We start from the raw sequence: 17709 nt of genomic DNA, 5'->3' as shown, positions 1-17709 counted from the left end.
AAAATGTAAAGCAGATCCAATCTATACTGGCGTGATGGTCAGTTTTCTGTGCAACTTGGCTAGGCTGCAGTACACAGTTACTCAAGCACAAATCTAGGTGTTGCTGTGGTGGTATGTTGGAGATGTGGCTTTAAGTCAAGGAAATTATCCTCAATAATGTGGGTGGGCCTTATTAGTCAGTTAGAAGGCTTTAAGAGTAAAACTAGGTTTTCCTGAGGAGGAAGGAATTCTGCTTCAAGACTGCCACATCAGCTCCTGACCCAGAGGTTCCAGACTGCCAGCCTGCTAGCTTGTCCAGCAGATTTCAGATTTGTCAGCCCCCAAAACTGTGTAAGCCAATTCCTTGGAATATACATATACCTCACACATATATACATGATAGATCTATATCCACATCTACTTTCTCTCTCTCTCTCTCTCTCTCTCTCTCTCTCTTTTTCTTGGAGACAGAGTCTCTGTTGCCCAGGCTGGTCTGCAATGGTGCGATCACGGCTCACTGCAGCGCTGACCTCCTGGGCTCAGGCGATCCTCTCACCTCAGCCTCTTGAGTAGCTGGAACCACAGGCACATGCCACAACTCCAGGGTAATTTTTAAATTATTTTTTTTGTAAAGGTGGGGGTCTCCCTATGTTGCCCAGGCTGGTCTTGAATTCCTGGACTCAAGGGATCCTCCCACCTCGGCCTCCCAAAGTACTGGGAGTGAACAGGCGTGAACCACCATGCCCGGCACACATTTACCTCTCTACCTCTATCTCTATCATCTACATCTCCTACAGGTTCAATTTCTGTGGAGAACCCTGACAGGTACAACTGGCATCTACTGAAAAAGAATAAAGTGGAGCCAGTTCATAGTCCACAGAAAGGTTGACTGAATTTCCCTATCTCTCTTGTCACTCCATTTTCCAACCCCTGACCCCTGGGACCTTCTCTGCAGCCTTCCTCCATCACATCTTCCCTGCCCCTGAGGCCTCTCTTATCCTCTTCCCTCCTCCCCTCTGCTGGTCTCTCTTGGAGTCAACCCAGGCCTTTCCTACAGAGATTCACCCAGCCTGGTGCCTCTGCCTCCACTGAGTAGCTCCATCAGGTGTGGGATGGAGAAAAAGGACAGTGGGACTGAGACAGCCAAGTAAAAAGGGCTCCCTGGAAAATTTCCAACTGGCCTGCACACTGGGAGGATGGGGTGAGGCCTCAGGAAGTTTGTGCCATTTGCAGTGGGGAGGAGCCTGGCTTCTCCTGTTCCTGGGTGGTGACCTGAAATTCAATCTGTAAGATGGGGGCCTGTTAACAGGAGCCCCTCTTGCTTTGCCGAGAGTCTTTTTCCTTTTCCCTCAATAAATTCTGTAACCCCTCACCCTTCAAAGTGTCTGCGTGCCTAATCTTTCCTGGTCGTGTGACAAGAACTTACAACAGGACCTGCTGAGTGGACCAGCCACACCTGAGTATTGGGCAAGAGTGAGGGAAAAGGGCACTCATATCTTAGTTATTTTGTATTCTAATTAAATTTTCCCAAACAACTTTTACATTTAAATGACTTAAAAACTTCTTCTGAAATCTCCATAACAACCTATAGGGTTTTCCTTATTTTACCCTTATAAAGTAAATTGGTTAGGTATTATCCTTTTTTTAGAAACGAGAAAGCCAACAATTAGAGAAATTAAACATTATATCCATGATCTCGCTATAGGTCTTACTTTACTAATTATAAAGCTGGAGTTACAACCTAAGATTTCTGACCCCACCACACGATGCTGGCCCTTTAGAAAAGAGAACATACTTGGTTCACGTTAATTAATTCATTTAACAAACATGCGTCGGAAGACTAGGGATCCAGTATGGACTGAATATAAAGTTGAAGAAGACAGAGTCCCTGCGTTCAAGGAGCTCACAGTACAAGGAAGGAGAGTGGGAGCTGTTCTAGAGATGCGACACCCCTTGGTTTCTCTCCACAGTTAGGAGAAAGGCAATTTGCAGAGTGCCCTTCCCTAGATGTCTTCTTCTGCCCACCTTCCCCTCCTTTCTCCTGGGATATCGTTGGCACAGCTTGCCCCAAATCTAGTGGCTGTGTGTGTCAGGGACCCCGCTGATCATCTCATAGCTCTCTGTGAAAGGTGTGGAGGCAGAGGTCCAGAGACAATGGCATTCCTACATACACACACACAGGCTGTGGTCAGGAGGATTGCTCTGTGGGTCCCTGAGGGCAGGGAAACCAGCCTTGGAAGGAAAGGAGGTCCAGTGGAAGAATAGCCTCGGGGCAGCCGGGGAAAGAAGGCTCCTAAACTCTCTAGAACATCATGGACTCTCCCCACACTTACTATTTCTCTTCCCACTTTTTCTCCTATTAGTTTAAAAGTCATTGAAAGAGATAATTAAAAACAGAGGAGATGATTTTCAAGAGAAATAAGAAGGGGATAAAAAGAATGATATAAGGCAATAAAATGATTGAAAAAAGTATTTCAAAAGGCTCAAATTAGATAACAGCAATTATAAAAAATGAGAACAAATTTGAAAGATTAACAAAAATAGATATAAAATGGCTTAAAGTATAAAGTCGTAATTAGTAGTATAAAAAATTGTAAGTAATGTTATAAATTAAAATAATTAATTATACATTTTAAAGATGAATAATTAAAAAGTAAAGATAAATAGTATTAAGTTAAAAACCATAATTAATTAAAATAATATTTTAGAAAAGATGAGTACACCAATAGAGAAATGGACAAAGAACATGAATTGACATATGCAGAAATACAAATAAAAACATGTATGTAAAAAAGTTCAACCTTGCTAATAATAAAATAAATGCATATTAAAACTTTGAGCTATTGAGCTCTGCTTACCAAATTGGTAATGGTTTGAAAAGCGATGTATTCAGCGTCATTAGGGATACAGGAAACAACTATTGCATGTCCCTAAACCATAAATTGTTTCAGCATGCAGACGTAAGACACATGAGAGAGCTGACACTGTACATACTCTTGTCCCCCGTAATTTCATTGCTAGAAACTTATCCTAGGGGATAATCATAAATATGCACAGTGAGTTGCCTGCAAGAATCTTCATCAGCATAATTGTTAATAATGTTGATGTTTTAGGCCAGGCGCGGTGGCTCATGCCTCCAATCCTAACACTTTGGGAGGCTGAGGTGGGCCGAACACTTGAGGAGACGAGTTCAAGACCAGCCTGGCCAACATGGCAAATCCCCATCTCTACTAAAAATACAAAAAATTAGCCGGGCATGGTGGCACAAGCCTGTAGTCCCAGCTACTCAGGAGGCTGAGGTGGGAGAATCACTTGATCCCAGGAGATGGAGCTTGCAGTGAGCTGAGATCGCGCCACTGCACTCCAGCCTGGGTGACAGAGCAAGACCCTGTCTCAAGAAAGAAAAAAAAAAAGGGTTGGGTGTGGTGGCTCACGCCTGTAATCCCAGCACTTTGGGAGGCTGAGGCGGGAGGATCACCAGGTCAGGAGTTTGAGACCAGCCTGGCCAGTATGGTGAAACCCCGTCTCTACTAGAAATACAAAAATTAACCAGGCGTGGTGGCAGTCGCCTGTTGTCCCAGCTACTAGGGAGGCTGAGGCAGAAGAATCGCTTGAACCTGGGAGGCAGAGGTTGCAGTGAGCCGAGATTGCGCCACTGCACTGTAGCCTGGGTGACAGAGCAAGACTCTGTCTCAAAAAAAAAAAAAAAGTTAATGTTTTAAAACTTAGAGAAAAAATTCCTAAATGCCCAATAGTAGGAAATTTGATAAATAAGATTTTTTACACAAAGAAACACTACACAATAATTAAAAATACTATTGTAAAAGAACATTTCATAACATGGAAAACAGAATCACAATGCATTAAGCAAAAAACCCAGCAGGTTAAGAACAGTATATACAATATGGTCCCATTTTTCTTGGAGAAATAAAAGGTTATGTGTGCATATTATTAATATATTAGGAGTAGTTTTTTATGGGTAGTTATTTACAGGTGACTTTTGTTTTTATTTTTTGAGACAGGGTCTTTATCACCCAGGCTGAAGTACAGTGGTGTGATCATGGCTCACTGCGGCCTTGAACTCCCAGGCTCAAGTGATCCTCCCACCTCAGCCTCCCAAGTTGCTGGGATTATAGACGTGTGCCACCACGCCCAGCTAATTTTTGTATTTTTAGTAGAGATGGCGTTTCACCATGTTGGCTAGGCTGGTCTTGAACTCCTGACCTCAGGTGATCCACCCGCTTCAGCCTCCCAAAGTGCTGGGATTATAGGCATGAGCCACCACACCCAGCCAAACAGCCAAGTCTTGGGAGTAAATGACTTTCCTTCTGTCATTCACCAGCCATCAAGAAACAATACATTCAAATAATTCCTCAGGCTCCAACCTATTCTCTATAGTTTTTGTCCCTGGTCAGTGCCCTAAGAGACCCCTGTAACCCCTGAGCCAGTCTCTACCTCCTACCCCAGAATCCAAAGGGACTAAGTATTCCCGGCCTTGTGCAATGACCACCCTATGCTACCCTAAAGACTGGGAAAATGTGGGTGACTTTGGTACACAGGTGAGGTGTACACAGTTTATCAGTAAGTATGCTTTATGTGGCAACATGCAGAAAACAATGCACAAAGGCAACCACTTCTCTGATATTTATCACCAAAGATTAATTTTGCCTGTTCCTTCCTCTTTAGTGTAGTGGTGAGTATAGTAATAATAATAATTTTGCCTGTTCTTAAACACTATGTAAATGGCCTTATGCAGCCTGTATTCTTCTATGTTGGACTTCTTTTGTTCAACATTATGCCTATGATATTCACCTATGTTGTTGAGTATAGCGATAGTTTATTGTTTTTTGTTGTTGTTGTTGTAGTATAGCATTCCATTCTGTGAATATACGATTTATTTATCTATTCTAAAGCTGATGACATTTGGGCTATTTTCTGCTTGGGGCTCTTGTGAATAAAGCTGTAATAAATATTCCTGCATGTGTCTGTTGGTAGAAATAAACATTCGTTTCTATTATGTGTACCCAGGAGTAGAATTGCTGGGTCATTAGCTAATGAATTGAATGAAGCCAGTACTCCTTCCCCAGTATTCCCACAGGGAATGTGTATTGATTTATGCCAGGCCCAAGTCACCCCTGTACCAGAGGCCTGCATTGCCACCTCACAATTGTGCACCATCCCTCCACTTAGCAATCATGTTTGCCACAGCTCCAGTAGCTGCTGCAGTATCCTTTATCCACCACCAAAGTCCTGCACATAGGGCTCATGAGGGCAGTTTCCCATGAGAGAGAACATAGCTGGCGGCAGAGTACTAGACAGAATGCCTGGAGATACGGACTCTTGCCAGGCCCTGATGTCACCAGGCTGTGTGGCCTTGGGCAACTCACTCAGCCTCTCTGAGTCTTGGTTCTTTCATGTGTGACATAAAGAGGAAGGTTAGATGGTTGTTAAGGTTGCTTCCACTTGAAAGTCCTGTGAGTTTTTGTTTTTGAGACAGGATCTCACCATGTTGCCCAGGCTGGAGTGCAGTGGTGCTCACTGCAGCCTCGACCTCCCAGGCTTAAGCGAGTATCCTGCCTCAACCTCCCAAGGCTGCACCACCACGCCCCTCCCAATTTTTTTTTTGTAGAAGGGGGGCTCGTTTTGTTACTCAGGCTGGTCTCAAACTCCTGGGCTCCAGCAGTCCTCCTGCTTCAGCCTTTCAAAGTGCTGGAATTACAGGCATGAGCCACTGTGCCCAGCTCCATTAGTTTTTTTTTTTTTTTCCTGAGATGACAGAGTCTGGCTGTTGCCCAGGCTGGAGTGCAGTGGCACAATCTTGGCTCACTACCGCCTCCACCTCCCAGATTCAAGCAATTCTCCTGCCTCAGCCTCCTGAGTAGCTGGGATTACAGGTGCGTGCCACCACACCTGGCTATTTCTTTTTTTTTTTTTTTGAGGTGGAGTCTTACTCTGTCGCCCAGGCTGGAGTGCAGTGGTGCAATCTCAGTGCAAGCTCAGTGCAAGCTCTGCCTCCCCGGTTCATGCCATTCTCCTGCCTCGGCCTCCCAAGTAGCTGAGACTACAGGCATCTGCCAACACACCCAGCTAATTTTTTTGTATTTTTAGTAGAGATGGGTTTTCACCATGTTAGCCAGGATGGTCTCGATCTCCTGACCTCGTGATCCACCCATCTTGGCCTCCCAAAGTGCTGGGATTACAGGCAAGAGCCACCGTGCCCAGCTCACGCCTGGCTAATTTTTGTATTTTCAATAGAGGCGGAGTTTCACCATGTTGGCCAGGCTGTCTCAAACTCCCGACCTCAATTGATCTGCCTGCTTTGGCCTCCCAAAGTGCTGGGATTACAGGTGTGAGCCACCGAGCCCAGGCCCAGCTCCTTGAGTTCTAATAAAAGAATTGCATTGTACCAACTCTTGTTCCAGGCCGAAAGTTGGAATCCACTATGCTTTGGAACATGTGAGTAAACCAGAGTTTCACTGGAGTTGAGAGGCTCAGGGTGTGCCCATCTTGGGTGCCTCCCTGAGCTGCTGCAAAAGTGGAACCAAACAAGGCAGCACACTCGGGTGAGGACCAGCTGTGTAGAATGTGTACTTAGGGACATTTCTACACTATTACCATCAATAAACAGGCATTTCTCTGCCTGTCCAACATCACAGCAGAAATGCCCATATAACCTTGATGCATTTCAAGCATTTGTTATTTGGAAGTAAAGAGGCTAACAGCCTGCATTTCAGAAATCTCTCAAGCTCCATGACAGGTAGACATTGTTAAAAGGTTAGGAGAATGTCCCTGTGCTCTCAAATAAAAATGGCTTGAAAATTCATCAAGGACAGAGGAGCCATCAGGAGAGATGACAGATGGAATGTTTGTGCTTGTTTAAGGCATGGAGATGAGAAATGAGTCTCTTCTGACTCGGTCTCTGTTTTTCAGAGATGATCACTCTAAATCCAACACAAAGGAAATCAAAAGACCTTGGAACTCTGGCAGGGCTTGAGTTTCGAAGATGCAGGAGCTGGGCTGAGTTTTCTTCTTACTCCGTGCACACTTGTCCCCACTCACTGCCACCCCTCCTTCTATGCCCTTAGACTCAGTATTTCAGCCACTGTATGTTGATGAATGTAAGATGAGGAGAAAAGAAATAAGGTGTCAGAGAGAAAAAAAAGTAAAAATGAGAAAAGCAAAGCAGAAGAATGTCCAGGAAAGGACAGAGAGTGGACTTTTAGAAACCTGCTGTTAATTTGGTGAGGCTTTACTCTAGAATAAACTTTATGCCAGAGGTAACAAAAAAAATCTTCCTGGGGAACTGCCAAGTTATGACCTGTGTGTAAGATTTACTTTAGCTATCGAGCATTAAGTGATGTCTGTTAAACTGAACGGTCACCAGAGCCCATCCTAAGACACGGCATGGCATAGCATATACAATTTACCATGAACAAGGACTTAGTAGCAAAGTGTATTCATCCTTTCTTACACTGTTAATAAAGACATACCGAAGAGTGGGTAATTTATAAAGGAAAGAGGTTTAATTGACTCACAGTTCAGCATGGCTGGGGAGGCCTCAGGAAACTTACAATCATGGTGGAAGGGGAAGTAAACACATCCTTCTTGGATGGCAGCAGCAAGAAGAATTGCCGAGCTAAAGGGGAAAAAGCACCTTATAAGACCATCAGACCTCCTGAGAACTCACTCACTATCATGAGAATAGTATGGGGGAAACTGACCCCATGATTCAATTATCTCCACCTGGTCCCACCCTTGACACGTGGGGATTATTACAATTCAAGATGAGATTTGGATGGGGACACAGCCAAACCTTATCACAAAGGTACTATTAGTTGAAAGCCAAAGATAGATGGAGTGGTTTCTGAAACATGGGGGGATCTCTGCCTTATGATTTCACTAGACACACGGGCAGTACAGTGAATCAGTTCTACCTGATCAATGCACTAAATCACTTGATCATTATGGCTACTAAAGGGAGACTATGTGATTAATGCCATAGCTGTGGGTATTTTCAAAGTCGCATAGTTATACTGTACTTGTAAATGCCTTCTAATTATTGATGACTTGTTTTATGCCATTTTGAGTTTTTAATCTTTTCAAGCGTGCTGCTCAAAATTCTTGTTTCAAGATATGTCACATAAGCACATGTGCATGCATCCGCATGCATGCTCTCTCTCACACACACACACACACACACACAATACTGTTTTAGGACTTCATTTTTTTATATGATTCTACAAACAATAATTGGTGGAAAAAGTTTTAAAGCTGATGCGCTATTATGGCTTGTCAAATATGTCTTAGTCCATATTTTCAGATTGTCTCTGTATTGATTGCACTACACATGAGGCACTTTTTGGTGATTTTAATTGGTTTGCTATAACTATGGCAACTATATGTCCTAGATTTTGCAGGATAATCCTGATTTCAAGGACTGATTTCATTGTCTCTTTAAGTTCACAAATAATAGAGCAATTGCTTCAATTTTTAGCTCAGAAAACACCATCATTAGATCTATATTCTATTTCAGCACAGGTCATAGAATCCAAGTGCTCTACTGTGCAGCTAGCATGCTACTCAGAATTGCTGGGGAGGGAGGGGGCTGTGATGAACAGCACAATGATTAGCTTTTCTAGCTGGGGACCAAGAGTGGGTCTCTCTCCTCCCTCTCCCTCATTATCCCATGTCACGTTCTTTCTATTTTTACCTTTGCTTCTCATCCATATCTTTCTACATTCCCACCAAGTAGAGCAGGGACAGTCAAGTGGTGTGTGAAGGAGTAGCAGAAGTGAGGTCGCCAGGATTAGGCCTTTTCCTACTTTTTGTTTAAAGGTGCGATTGAAAAATTGGCGTACATAGAGCAAACCTTCTGTAATTTTGTCTGTTTGAGTCATTTGAAAGTTTATTTTTATTCATTTATTTATTCTGAGACAGGGTCTCACTCTGTCACCCAGGCTGGAGTGCAGTGGGACGATCATGGCTCACTGCAGCCTAGACCTCCTGGGCTCAAGTGATCCTTGGACTTCAGCTTGCTCAGTAGGTGAGATGACAGGTGCACATCACCACTGAGTAAATTTTGTATTTTTTGTAGAGATGGGGTCTTGCCAGTTTGCCCAGGCTGGTCTGGAAGTTGCCCAGGCTGGTCGTGAACTCCTGGGCTCAAGTGATCCTCCCATTTCAGCCTCCCAAAGTGTTGGGATTACAGGTGTGAGCAGCTGCACCTGGCTGATTTGGAAGTTTAGGTATATATATATTTTTCTTTTTAGGGGAAGGAGATCATTAGGGATGACTGAATTTTTACTTTCTCCCTCTCTCCCTCTTTTCCTTCTTTCTCTTTTTTCCAGCATTCATTGCAAAGATTTGACGTGGTGGAAAAGGGAAAAAGAACAAAGGAGTTGGAAGGTAATATTGCTTAGTGGTCAAGCTAAGATTTGTGAAAAACCAAATTACTGCTCAGTTCTCAGCTCTGTATCAAAGTAAACTGCTGACATTCAATACCTAGAGTGCTTGTTTCCTGGGTGGAGACTGAAGAAATATGTTGCATTATTGTTATTGATATTTGGGAAGTCTCATATAATGAGGAAGATCCTCTGGTAACGCTGTATGTGCCCCAGAACCTAGGAAGCATTGCACGACTGGGCCTCCAGAAGCCCAGCAGCCTGGGCAGAGCCGGCCATTATAAAGACTTCAGTTGGAAGGCCTTTCTGAATCCTAGGCATCCCTAGAAGCTTCTGGAGTCCTGGGTCTTCACATCAGTGCTCTGTATTTGTGAGACTAAACTATTTTTTTTTTTTTTTTGAGACAGAGTCTAACTCTGTTGCCCAGGCTGGAGTGCAGTGGTGCAATTTCAGCTCACTGCAATCTCTGCCTCCCAGGTTCAAGCGATTCTCATGCCTCAGCCTCCCGAGTAGCTGTGATTACAGGTGCCTGCCACCAGACCTGGCTAATTTTTGTATTTTTAGTAGAGACAGCGTTTTACCATGTTTGCCAGGCTGGTCTTGAACTCCTGATCTCAGGTTATCTGTCCACCTCAGCCTCCCAAAGTGCTGGGATTACACGTGTGAGCCACCGTGCCTGGCCAAGACTAAACTAATTTTTAAGGGCTTGCTTTATGCTAGTCTCCCTTTTAACTGGCTTGTATTTCACTATTACAAAGCTGCTCACAGTTTTTTTTTCTTCTTTTTTTCTTTTTCCTTTTTTTTCCAAAAAAAATATTTGGACTTTAAAAAATGATAATTTCTATCATGTTTAACTAACTATACATTCTTTTTTAAAAAGTCTTTCTCAAGCTATCTTAATAACTATACATTCTTTAACAGCTTTACTTATTTATTTAGAGACAGGGTCTTGCTCTGTTGCCCAGGCTGGAGAGCAGGGGCGCATTTATAGCTCACGGTGGCCTCCAAGTCCTGGGTTCAAGTGATCTTCCCACGTCAGCTTCCAGAATAAATAGGACTATATGTGCATACCACTATGCCTAGCTAATACTTTTAACGGTGTTATTAATATGTAATTTACATGTCATAAAGTTCATCCATTTGAAGTGTACATTTCAATAAATTTCAGCATACTTATAGCATTGTGCAACCATCACAATCTAATTTTAGGCATTTTTATCACTCCTCCAAAAGAAACTATGTACCAATTAGAAGTTAAGAAACTATGTAACAATTAGAAGTTACTCTACATCTCACCTCCTCCTACCCTCTCCAAGCCTAATCTTCTTTTGTTTTCCATGGACTTGCCTATTCTGAACATTTCAACCGCCTTTTGTGTCTGGCTTCTTTCACTTGGCATAATGTCTTTGAGGTTCATCCATATTGTAGTATATATCAGTACTTTCTTCCTTTTTATTCCCCATTAATATTCCATTTTCTGGATATATTACATTTTGTTTTTCCATTCATCAATTAATGAACATTTGAATTGTTTTTCATACTATTATAAGTGGAATTGCTCTCCTCATTTCATTTTTGGCTTGTTAATTGCCAGTGTATAGAAATACAGTTTTTGTGTGTGTGTGTGTGATGGAGTCTCACTCTCCCTCCGGGGCTGGAGTGCAGTGACGCGATCTCCGCTCACTGCAACCTCCGCCCGCCATGTTCAAGCGATTTTCCTGCCTCAGCCTTCTGAGTAGCTGGGATTACAGGTGCCCACCACCACGCCTGGCTAATTCTTGTATTTTTAGTAGAGGCGGGGTTTCACTATGTTGGCCAGGCTGGTCTCAAACTCCTGACCTCAGGTGATCTGCCCGACTTGGCCTCCCAAAGTGCTGAGATTACAGGTGTGAGCCACAGCGCCCGGCTACAATTGATTTTTATATGTTGATCTTGTATCCTGCAAACTTGCTGAGTTTTTTTATTAGTTCTAATTAGTTTTGCAGTGGATTCTGTAAGATTTTTCTATTTGTAAGATCATGTTATCTTCGAATAGAGGTAGTTTTACTTCTTCCTTTCCAGTCTGGATGCCTTTTATTTTTCTTGCAGTTTCTTATTCCACCTATCTTTAGTTTGCCATGATTCTTCATGGTACAGACTCAGTGTTATAACTTCTCTTCTTGCTATCTTTTTGTATGCTCTGAATTTTCAAGTTTAAATTTGAGAAAGTGAATACAGAGATACAGAAAACGGAGAAAAACATGGAGAATCTGAGTAGCTGAAGTATTAGCTATTATTTTTCTTAGGGCAAAGCTTTGCATTCTAGCTCATAGGTGTCTGGCTAGTAAATGCTGCCTTTGGATTAGATGACTATTAATAAGCTGTAGCCAGAAAGAAAGGGAGGCCACAAGTTCTGGGTAGCTCAAGAAGGGATTGTATAGGCATGACTGGCCTAGAAATTGACATGGATAGAACAGTATTGTTAGAGAAGGCATTTTGTTTTAAAGAATACATTGAATTTTTTTTAAACTCAGAAGGCATCTTTGTAATGTTGGTTAAAATGCATTAGGATGTCTAAAACATTTTTGGATTGTCTGTTTGATTAGACCACTTATATGTGTTTGAATCATAAAACATGAAGGCACTCCACTACCTTCTCATGCTTGGCATTCATCATCTTTAATATATTTGGTTGAAAGAACTCTACTTAATATTCTAACTGGAGATATATATATATATATTTAAGACAACTAGTGGTTTCTTCATCTCTCTATTCTCTCCAAGGAACGCTTTCTTTGTACTTGGTTATTTTCGTAAGTGCTTGTTGAGCATGTGTGTTATATAGAACCTCCGATATGCCCTATATATTGGGGTAATAAGTGAGAGTGTGTTTGTGGAGGGGAGGGTCCCCAAAAAATGAAAGTCATAATTCCTTGGAGCTTTAGTTCCCAGTAGAAGAAAGAGTTAGGCTGGGCATGGTGGCTCATGCCTGTAATCCCAGCACTTTGGGAGGCTAAGGCAGAAAGGTTGCTTGAGCTCAGGAGTTTGAGACCAGCCTGGGCAGCATAGTGAGACCACAGCTAGGTGTGGTGGCACACACCTGTAGTCACAGCTACTGGGGAGGCTGAACTGGGAGGGATTGCTTGAACCTGGGAGGTTGGGGCTGCAGTGAGTCGTGATTGGGCCACTGCATTCTAGCCTAGGCAACAAAGCAAGACCCTCTCTCTCTCAAAAAAAAAAAAAGAAAAAAGAAGGAAACTTGAGAACAAGTACAAAGTAGCACGTAGTCTCATAACTGCAAAGTAACATAGTACAATTTTAAAAGAATATAATGATGAGATGTAATCAACACTCTGCTACTGACCAGGGATATAGAGATTAAAAAGACATAGTTTCTGCTCTAAAGATTCATACAGTAAGGTTGGGAGCGGTGGCTCACGCCTATAATCCCAGCACTTTGGGAGGCTGAGGTGGGAGGATCATGAGGTCAGGAGATGGAGACCATCCTGGCCAACATGGTGAAACCCCATCTCTACTAAAAATACAAAAAAATTAGCTGGGTGTGGTGACACGCACCTGTAGTCCCAGCTACTCCGGAGGCTGAGGCAGGAGAATTGCTTGAACCTGGGAGGCGGAGGTTGCAGTGAGCCAAGATTGCGCCACTGAACTCCAGCCTGGCGACAGAGCGAGACTCTGTCTCAGAAAAATAAAAGATACATACAGTAATAGATCAGCACATAATTGGATTCATACAGTAATAGATCAGCACATAATTGAAGCTCAAAAATGCGACTGCATTGTAGATGCCTTTGGCATAAGAGAATGCCATGGTGTGTTGTGGCCTGCTGCTTTTAATGTTGAGAGGGATTAATTGAAGAATAGTACCATCATTAACCTAATTTCTATTGAGAATCATCTGCCTCTGTAAAACTAAGGTCATATGGCTAAACTTATGTGTAACAGTGTGTTTAGCAAAAAAGAAATATGTAGATGAATAACCTAATAACTATGTACTGGTCTCGTAGAGGTGAAATGTTGAACTATTAATAGGAACTTTCCACAATAGATCATCTCAACTTTTCTGATGTAGTTTTAATTCCTCCACTAATTTATGCCATCTTTGGCAATCACTTAACTTTTCTCTGCCTAACCCTATTATGGCCTAACTTATGTAACTGAACTAGTAGTAGAAGGAGACACAAAAGTGGAAAGTAAATTCTCTACATACTTGGTGCAAATAATTTATTCTATGAAGAAATGTATTTTCTCATAGACAGGTTTGAAAACCATAGTACTTAAAATTTTACTTTACAAAAAGAAAAAAATACAGATACTAGTTCATGAGACAAGAGACATGGACCAAACACACGTTTACGTTTTTTATTTTTTTATTTTATGGCTACTACTAAAATGCCACCATTCATGTACTGCATAACAGTGTTTCAGTCAAAGAAGAACCTCATTTCTGGCAGTGGAATCATAAGATTATAATGGAGCTGGAAAATTCCTGTCTCCTAGTATTTACTATACTATGCTTTTTATCTTTAGGTTAAAGTGCATTCTTTCTACCTATATAAAAAAGTTAACTGTAAAACAGCCTCAGGCAGGTCCTTCAGGAGGTGTTACAGAAGGTGCTGTTATCATAGGAGATAGCTCCATACGTGTTATTGCCTCTGAAGACCTTTCAGTGGGACAAGATGTGAAGGTGGAAGACAGTGATATTGATGATCCTGACCCCGTGTAGGTCTAGGCTAATGTGTGTGTGTTTGTCTTAATTTTTAACAAAAATGTTTAAAAAGTAAAAAGTAAATAATTTCAAAAATAGAAAAAGCTTATAGACTAAGTATATAAAGAAAGAAATATTTTTGTACAGCTATATAGTGTGTTTGTGTTTTAAGCTAAGTGTTATTAAAGAGTCAAAAAGTCACAAAAAAAGAAGTTTATAAGTTTAAAAAGTTACAGTAAGCTAAGGTCAATTTATTCTTGAAGAATGAAAATATATGAAAATAAATTTAGTGTTGCCTAAGTGCACAGTGTTGATAAAAGGTACAGTACTGCATAGTTGCGTCCCAGGCCTTCACATTCAACTCCCCACTCACTCACTGACTCACTCAGGGCAACTTCCAGTCCTGTAAGCTCCATTCATGGTAAGTGCCCTATAGAAGCATACCATTTTTTATCTTTGATTTTTTTTTTAATGGAATGCTTCAGAAATTCATGTGTCAACCTTGCTCAGGGGCTGTGCTAATCTCTGTATTGTTCAAATTGTCCTAGATGTGTTGCCAAAGCAATCACTTTTACACTGTTTTTGCTGTAGCTTTTCTATGTTTACATATATTTGTACACACAAATACCACTGTGTTACAATTGCCTACAGTATTTAGTACAGTGACATGCTGTACATCTTTGCAGCCTGGGAGCAATAGGTTACACCAAGTAGCCCAGGTGTGTAGTAGGCTACACCATCTGGGTTTGTGTAAGTACACTCTATGATGTTTGCACAACCACAGATATCACAGGGTCACCTAACGAGGCATTTCTCAGAAGTAGTCTTCATTAAGCTACCCTACGACTGTAATGAAACGCTAAGTTTTGAGCCAGGAATTTGTGTATAGAACACTAGGAATGGCTTCATTAGTATCATGCATCTTTTTCATTAAACTGTGAGTCCCTTTGAGAGAAAGATTGTGTCTCTGAACTTAGTGGCCTAAATTTCTAGAATTATGTCTTCAAAAAGTTGCCCAGTTAGGCGTCTCTGGGGAGTCAAAACCACAACTCCCAGAATGCCGTGCTCCCTTAGCGCGCTCAGGCGCGGGGAGAGAATGTCCCATCACCCACCGCGCCAGATCGAGACCACAGTTCCCACTACACCCAGGGACTCCGCGGAAAGCTATCAAACACCACCTGTTGCCATAGCATCCGGGTCGGGTGAACCAATCCGGGCGCCCTCGCCGAACAGAGGCGGGCAGTTCGCATCGCCGACCAACCTGAGGCGTTTTTGTTGTGGCGCGTGACCGGAGGAGGCGGGAGCTCAGGACCGGCGCCTTCTCCTTGCTTCTGGGGGTCGTGGCCTTGCTCCCGCTGTGCGGGAAAAGAATCCAGGCCCTTCCACGCGCGTGTGGGTGCGGGGGCCCCGAAGTGCTCGTGGTTCCCCGCTAGGTCTCCGCTGGGGCAGGAACCGGAATCATGGGTGGGACCACCAGCACCCGCCGGGTCACCTTCGAGGCGGACGAGAATGAGAACATCACCGTGGTGAAGGGCATCCGGGTGAGTGCCCGTGGACGGGCGGAGGGCCAGTGGTTGGACTCGGACCCCAAGGCCCCATCTTCTCCGGACCCGCTCAGCCTGGGTTTCTCCCGTCCTGGACCCTAGCGTATTAAGGCCAGAAGCCCAGGTGTCTGGGAAGAAGCCTAGAGTTTCAAGACGTGGGACATTCATTCAGAGATAGTTCCTGGTTGTGCCAAGTGCTAGGCACTGCTGGGGCGGGCGGGGAATGCCAGGTTGAATTATACCCTGCAAGGGCTCACAGTCTACTCGTAACTGTACTGCTCCCTTGTTGCAGGACCGTATTTGAAACCCATACCTCGGTGTACTTGTCTGTGAAATGGTTTTCCTGGGTTCAGGACCCAAACCCTGCTTTTCCACTGTGCACACCCTGTCTCCCAGGGTGAATTGGCATTTTAAGGATTGCCTTTGCTTTGTGTCATTTAGTGCTCTCCCTCTGATAACACCCCCTCCTCCCACCCACTCCCCACACCCTGTCATCCTCCCTCCCAGCCCCACAGTCTTTTCTGACCTGCCTGGGGCGGCTTCTGGCTTCTCCCTGCTTCACTTTCACTTGATATCTCCTCTTTCCCAGGCGCCTCCTCTGTGACCTGCTGCGCCGAAGTTTTGGATTAGGCCCAGTTGCTTCAGGACTAGTGTCTGCCAGTCTGATAGGGGCTGAGATGGGTTTGCAGTTTTTCATACCAGTAGAAGTAATGTAGTCATTTCTGACCAACGTTGTAGAGCACTTTTTTTTTAATGCCCTTTGCATGCACCTGATACATAAACTGAAAACCTGGTTTTTCTCTAGGGTGTCAGTATACCAGCACTAACTTCATTAACACACTCTCCGCTGCGCCTGAATTTGGAGCCTCACATTTTTGGACGTATGATGCCTGAACCTAGTAAATAAAGCAATTTTGACTTCAGAAAGTTTTATAATAATTTATATATTTTTTTCTGTTATCAACCAGCGTAAATAAATTACATTTGTAAATTATTTTTAACAGTTGTTACCAGGAAATAAAACTTCTTAAATATTTAAAATGTTTAAAAACTTTTTCTTCTGAAACTGTTACCTTGAGAATAATTTATTAAACTTTTCTTCATAGAAACTCAGACTGTCGAACTCAGTTTTTGGTCTGTGACCAGTATTTCTTTATATCATGCTAATTAATGGTAGTACTACATTTTGTAATAAAATATCTGAGGCTGTATTCTTTGAGTTATTGTGTTTCAGTTAGTACTCTTTGGAGTAAAAAATTACTGTAAACTTTAAGTTTTATGCAGAGATTTTAAGACTCTTGCCATTAGGCTTTCAGTACGCAACTCAGAGTGAAAAATAATTAAAAGACAAAGCAAAATAAGTTTTGAGTGAGAAGACATTGGTTAGAAAAAAATGTATAAATCCATATTCTCGTGCTTTAGTACAGACACAGTGCTAACAGCAAACAAAATCGAAAGAGAATGTGGCCACAGCACAGAGATTCATATCAAGTATTAGATAAGGTTGGATGGAATAACTGTGACAGCAGGGATAGGTATTCTATTAAAATGGAAAAATTGTCTAAAAAACCTTTTTAAGATTTTTGTTTTTTAAAAAGAAATGTCCTTTGGTCATATAACTTGACAGCATTCCTCATTTTTTTCCTTTCTTATATAGTACATTTTACCTGTATTGCTAACAGTTCAAGCATGATCATTTTTACCTCTATGCTTTTCTTCAGAATATACCCTTCACCTGGAATGCCCTTGCGCTGGTCTCCATTGCTTCAAATCCTCCTTTTACATGAATGTTTTGCAATCTCTCTGAGCTTCAGTTTTCCCATCTGCAAAATAATGCAACTGAGTACATCCCTCAGATCTCTAATATTTTCCAGTCCTGAAATCCTGTGAGTCTGGTGGCACTGTAAGTTTCTTGTAGCCATACTTAGCCCATTGCAGTTTCCTCTAGAAGTGACATCCATTGAAGTATTGAGTACACAGAGGTCATTCTGATTTCTTTGAGCTCATGATCAAAAGAGTATCAACTTGAAATTAAACAGACCTCAGTTTAAATCTCAGGTTAGATATTTATTACTTAACC

General features: G+C 42.4%; 1 protein-coding gene and 1 pseudogene across 4 annotated transcripts in view, besides 3 other annotated features; one reads left to right on the top strand and one right to left on the bottom strand.

The window, feature by feature from the left end:
- RNU6-92P (RNA, U6 small nuclear 92, pseudogene) lies at nt 14551–14654 on the bottom strand (annotated as a pseudogene).
- Nucleotides 15026–15660: an enhancer, noted in NCBI's record as "H3K27ac hESC enhancer chr7:132766583-132767217 (GRCh37/hg19 assembly coordinates)". NCBI's record gives its function as "activates a minimal SCP1, AML or CMV promoter by ChIP-STARR-seq in naive H9 embryonic stem cells {active_cell/tissue: H9 hESC(naive)}" and the evidence as "EXISTENCE:reporter gene assay evidence [ECO:0000049][PMID:30033119]".
- Nucleotides 15111–15220: an enhancer, noted in NCBI's record as "active region_26683". NCBI's record gives its function as "activates an Ori minimal core promoter by ATAC-STARR-seq in GM12878 lymphoblastoid cells {active_cell/tissue: GM12878}" and the evidence as "EXISTENCE:reporter gene assay evidence [ECO:0000049][PMID:35858748]".
- Nucleotides 15393–17709, top strand: part of CHCHD3 (coiled-coil-helix-coiled-coil-helix domain containing 3) — a 297221-nt gene continuing 294904 nt past the window's right edge. For all 4 annotated transcript variants that reach the window (NR_133671.2, NM_017812.4, NM_001317177.2 and 1 more), the window contains exon 1: nt 15393–15626. Coding sequence is in view for 3 of the 4 variants with exons in the window: in NM_017812.4 (NP_060282.1) it covers nt 15546–15626 (81 nt within the window). In the remaining variant the exon portion in view is untranslated. The remainder of the gene's footprint in view (nt 15627–17709) is intronic.
- Nucleotides 15431–15610: an enhancer, noted in NCBI's record as "active region_26682". NCBI's record gives its function as "activates an Ori minimal core promoter by ATAC-STARR-seq in GM12878 lymphoblastoid cells {active_cell/tissue: GM12878}" and the evidence as "EXISTENCE:reporter gene assay evidence [ECO:0000049][PMID:35858748]".

The sequence above is a fragment of the Homo sapiens genome, chromosome 7, assembly GCF_000001405.40.
Source record: "Homo sapiens chromosome 7, GRCh38.p14 Primary Assembly".
Taxonomy (NCBI): Eukaryota; Metazoa; Chordata; class Mammalia; order Primates; family Hominidae; genus Homo; species Homo sapiens.
This window is presented reverse-complemented; position numbering and strand designations above follow the sequence as displayed.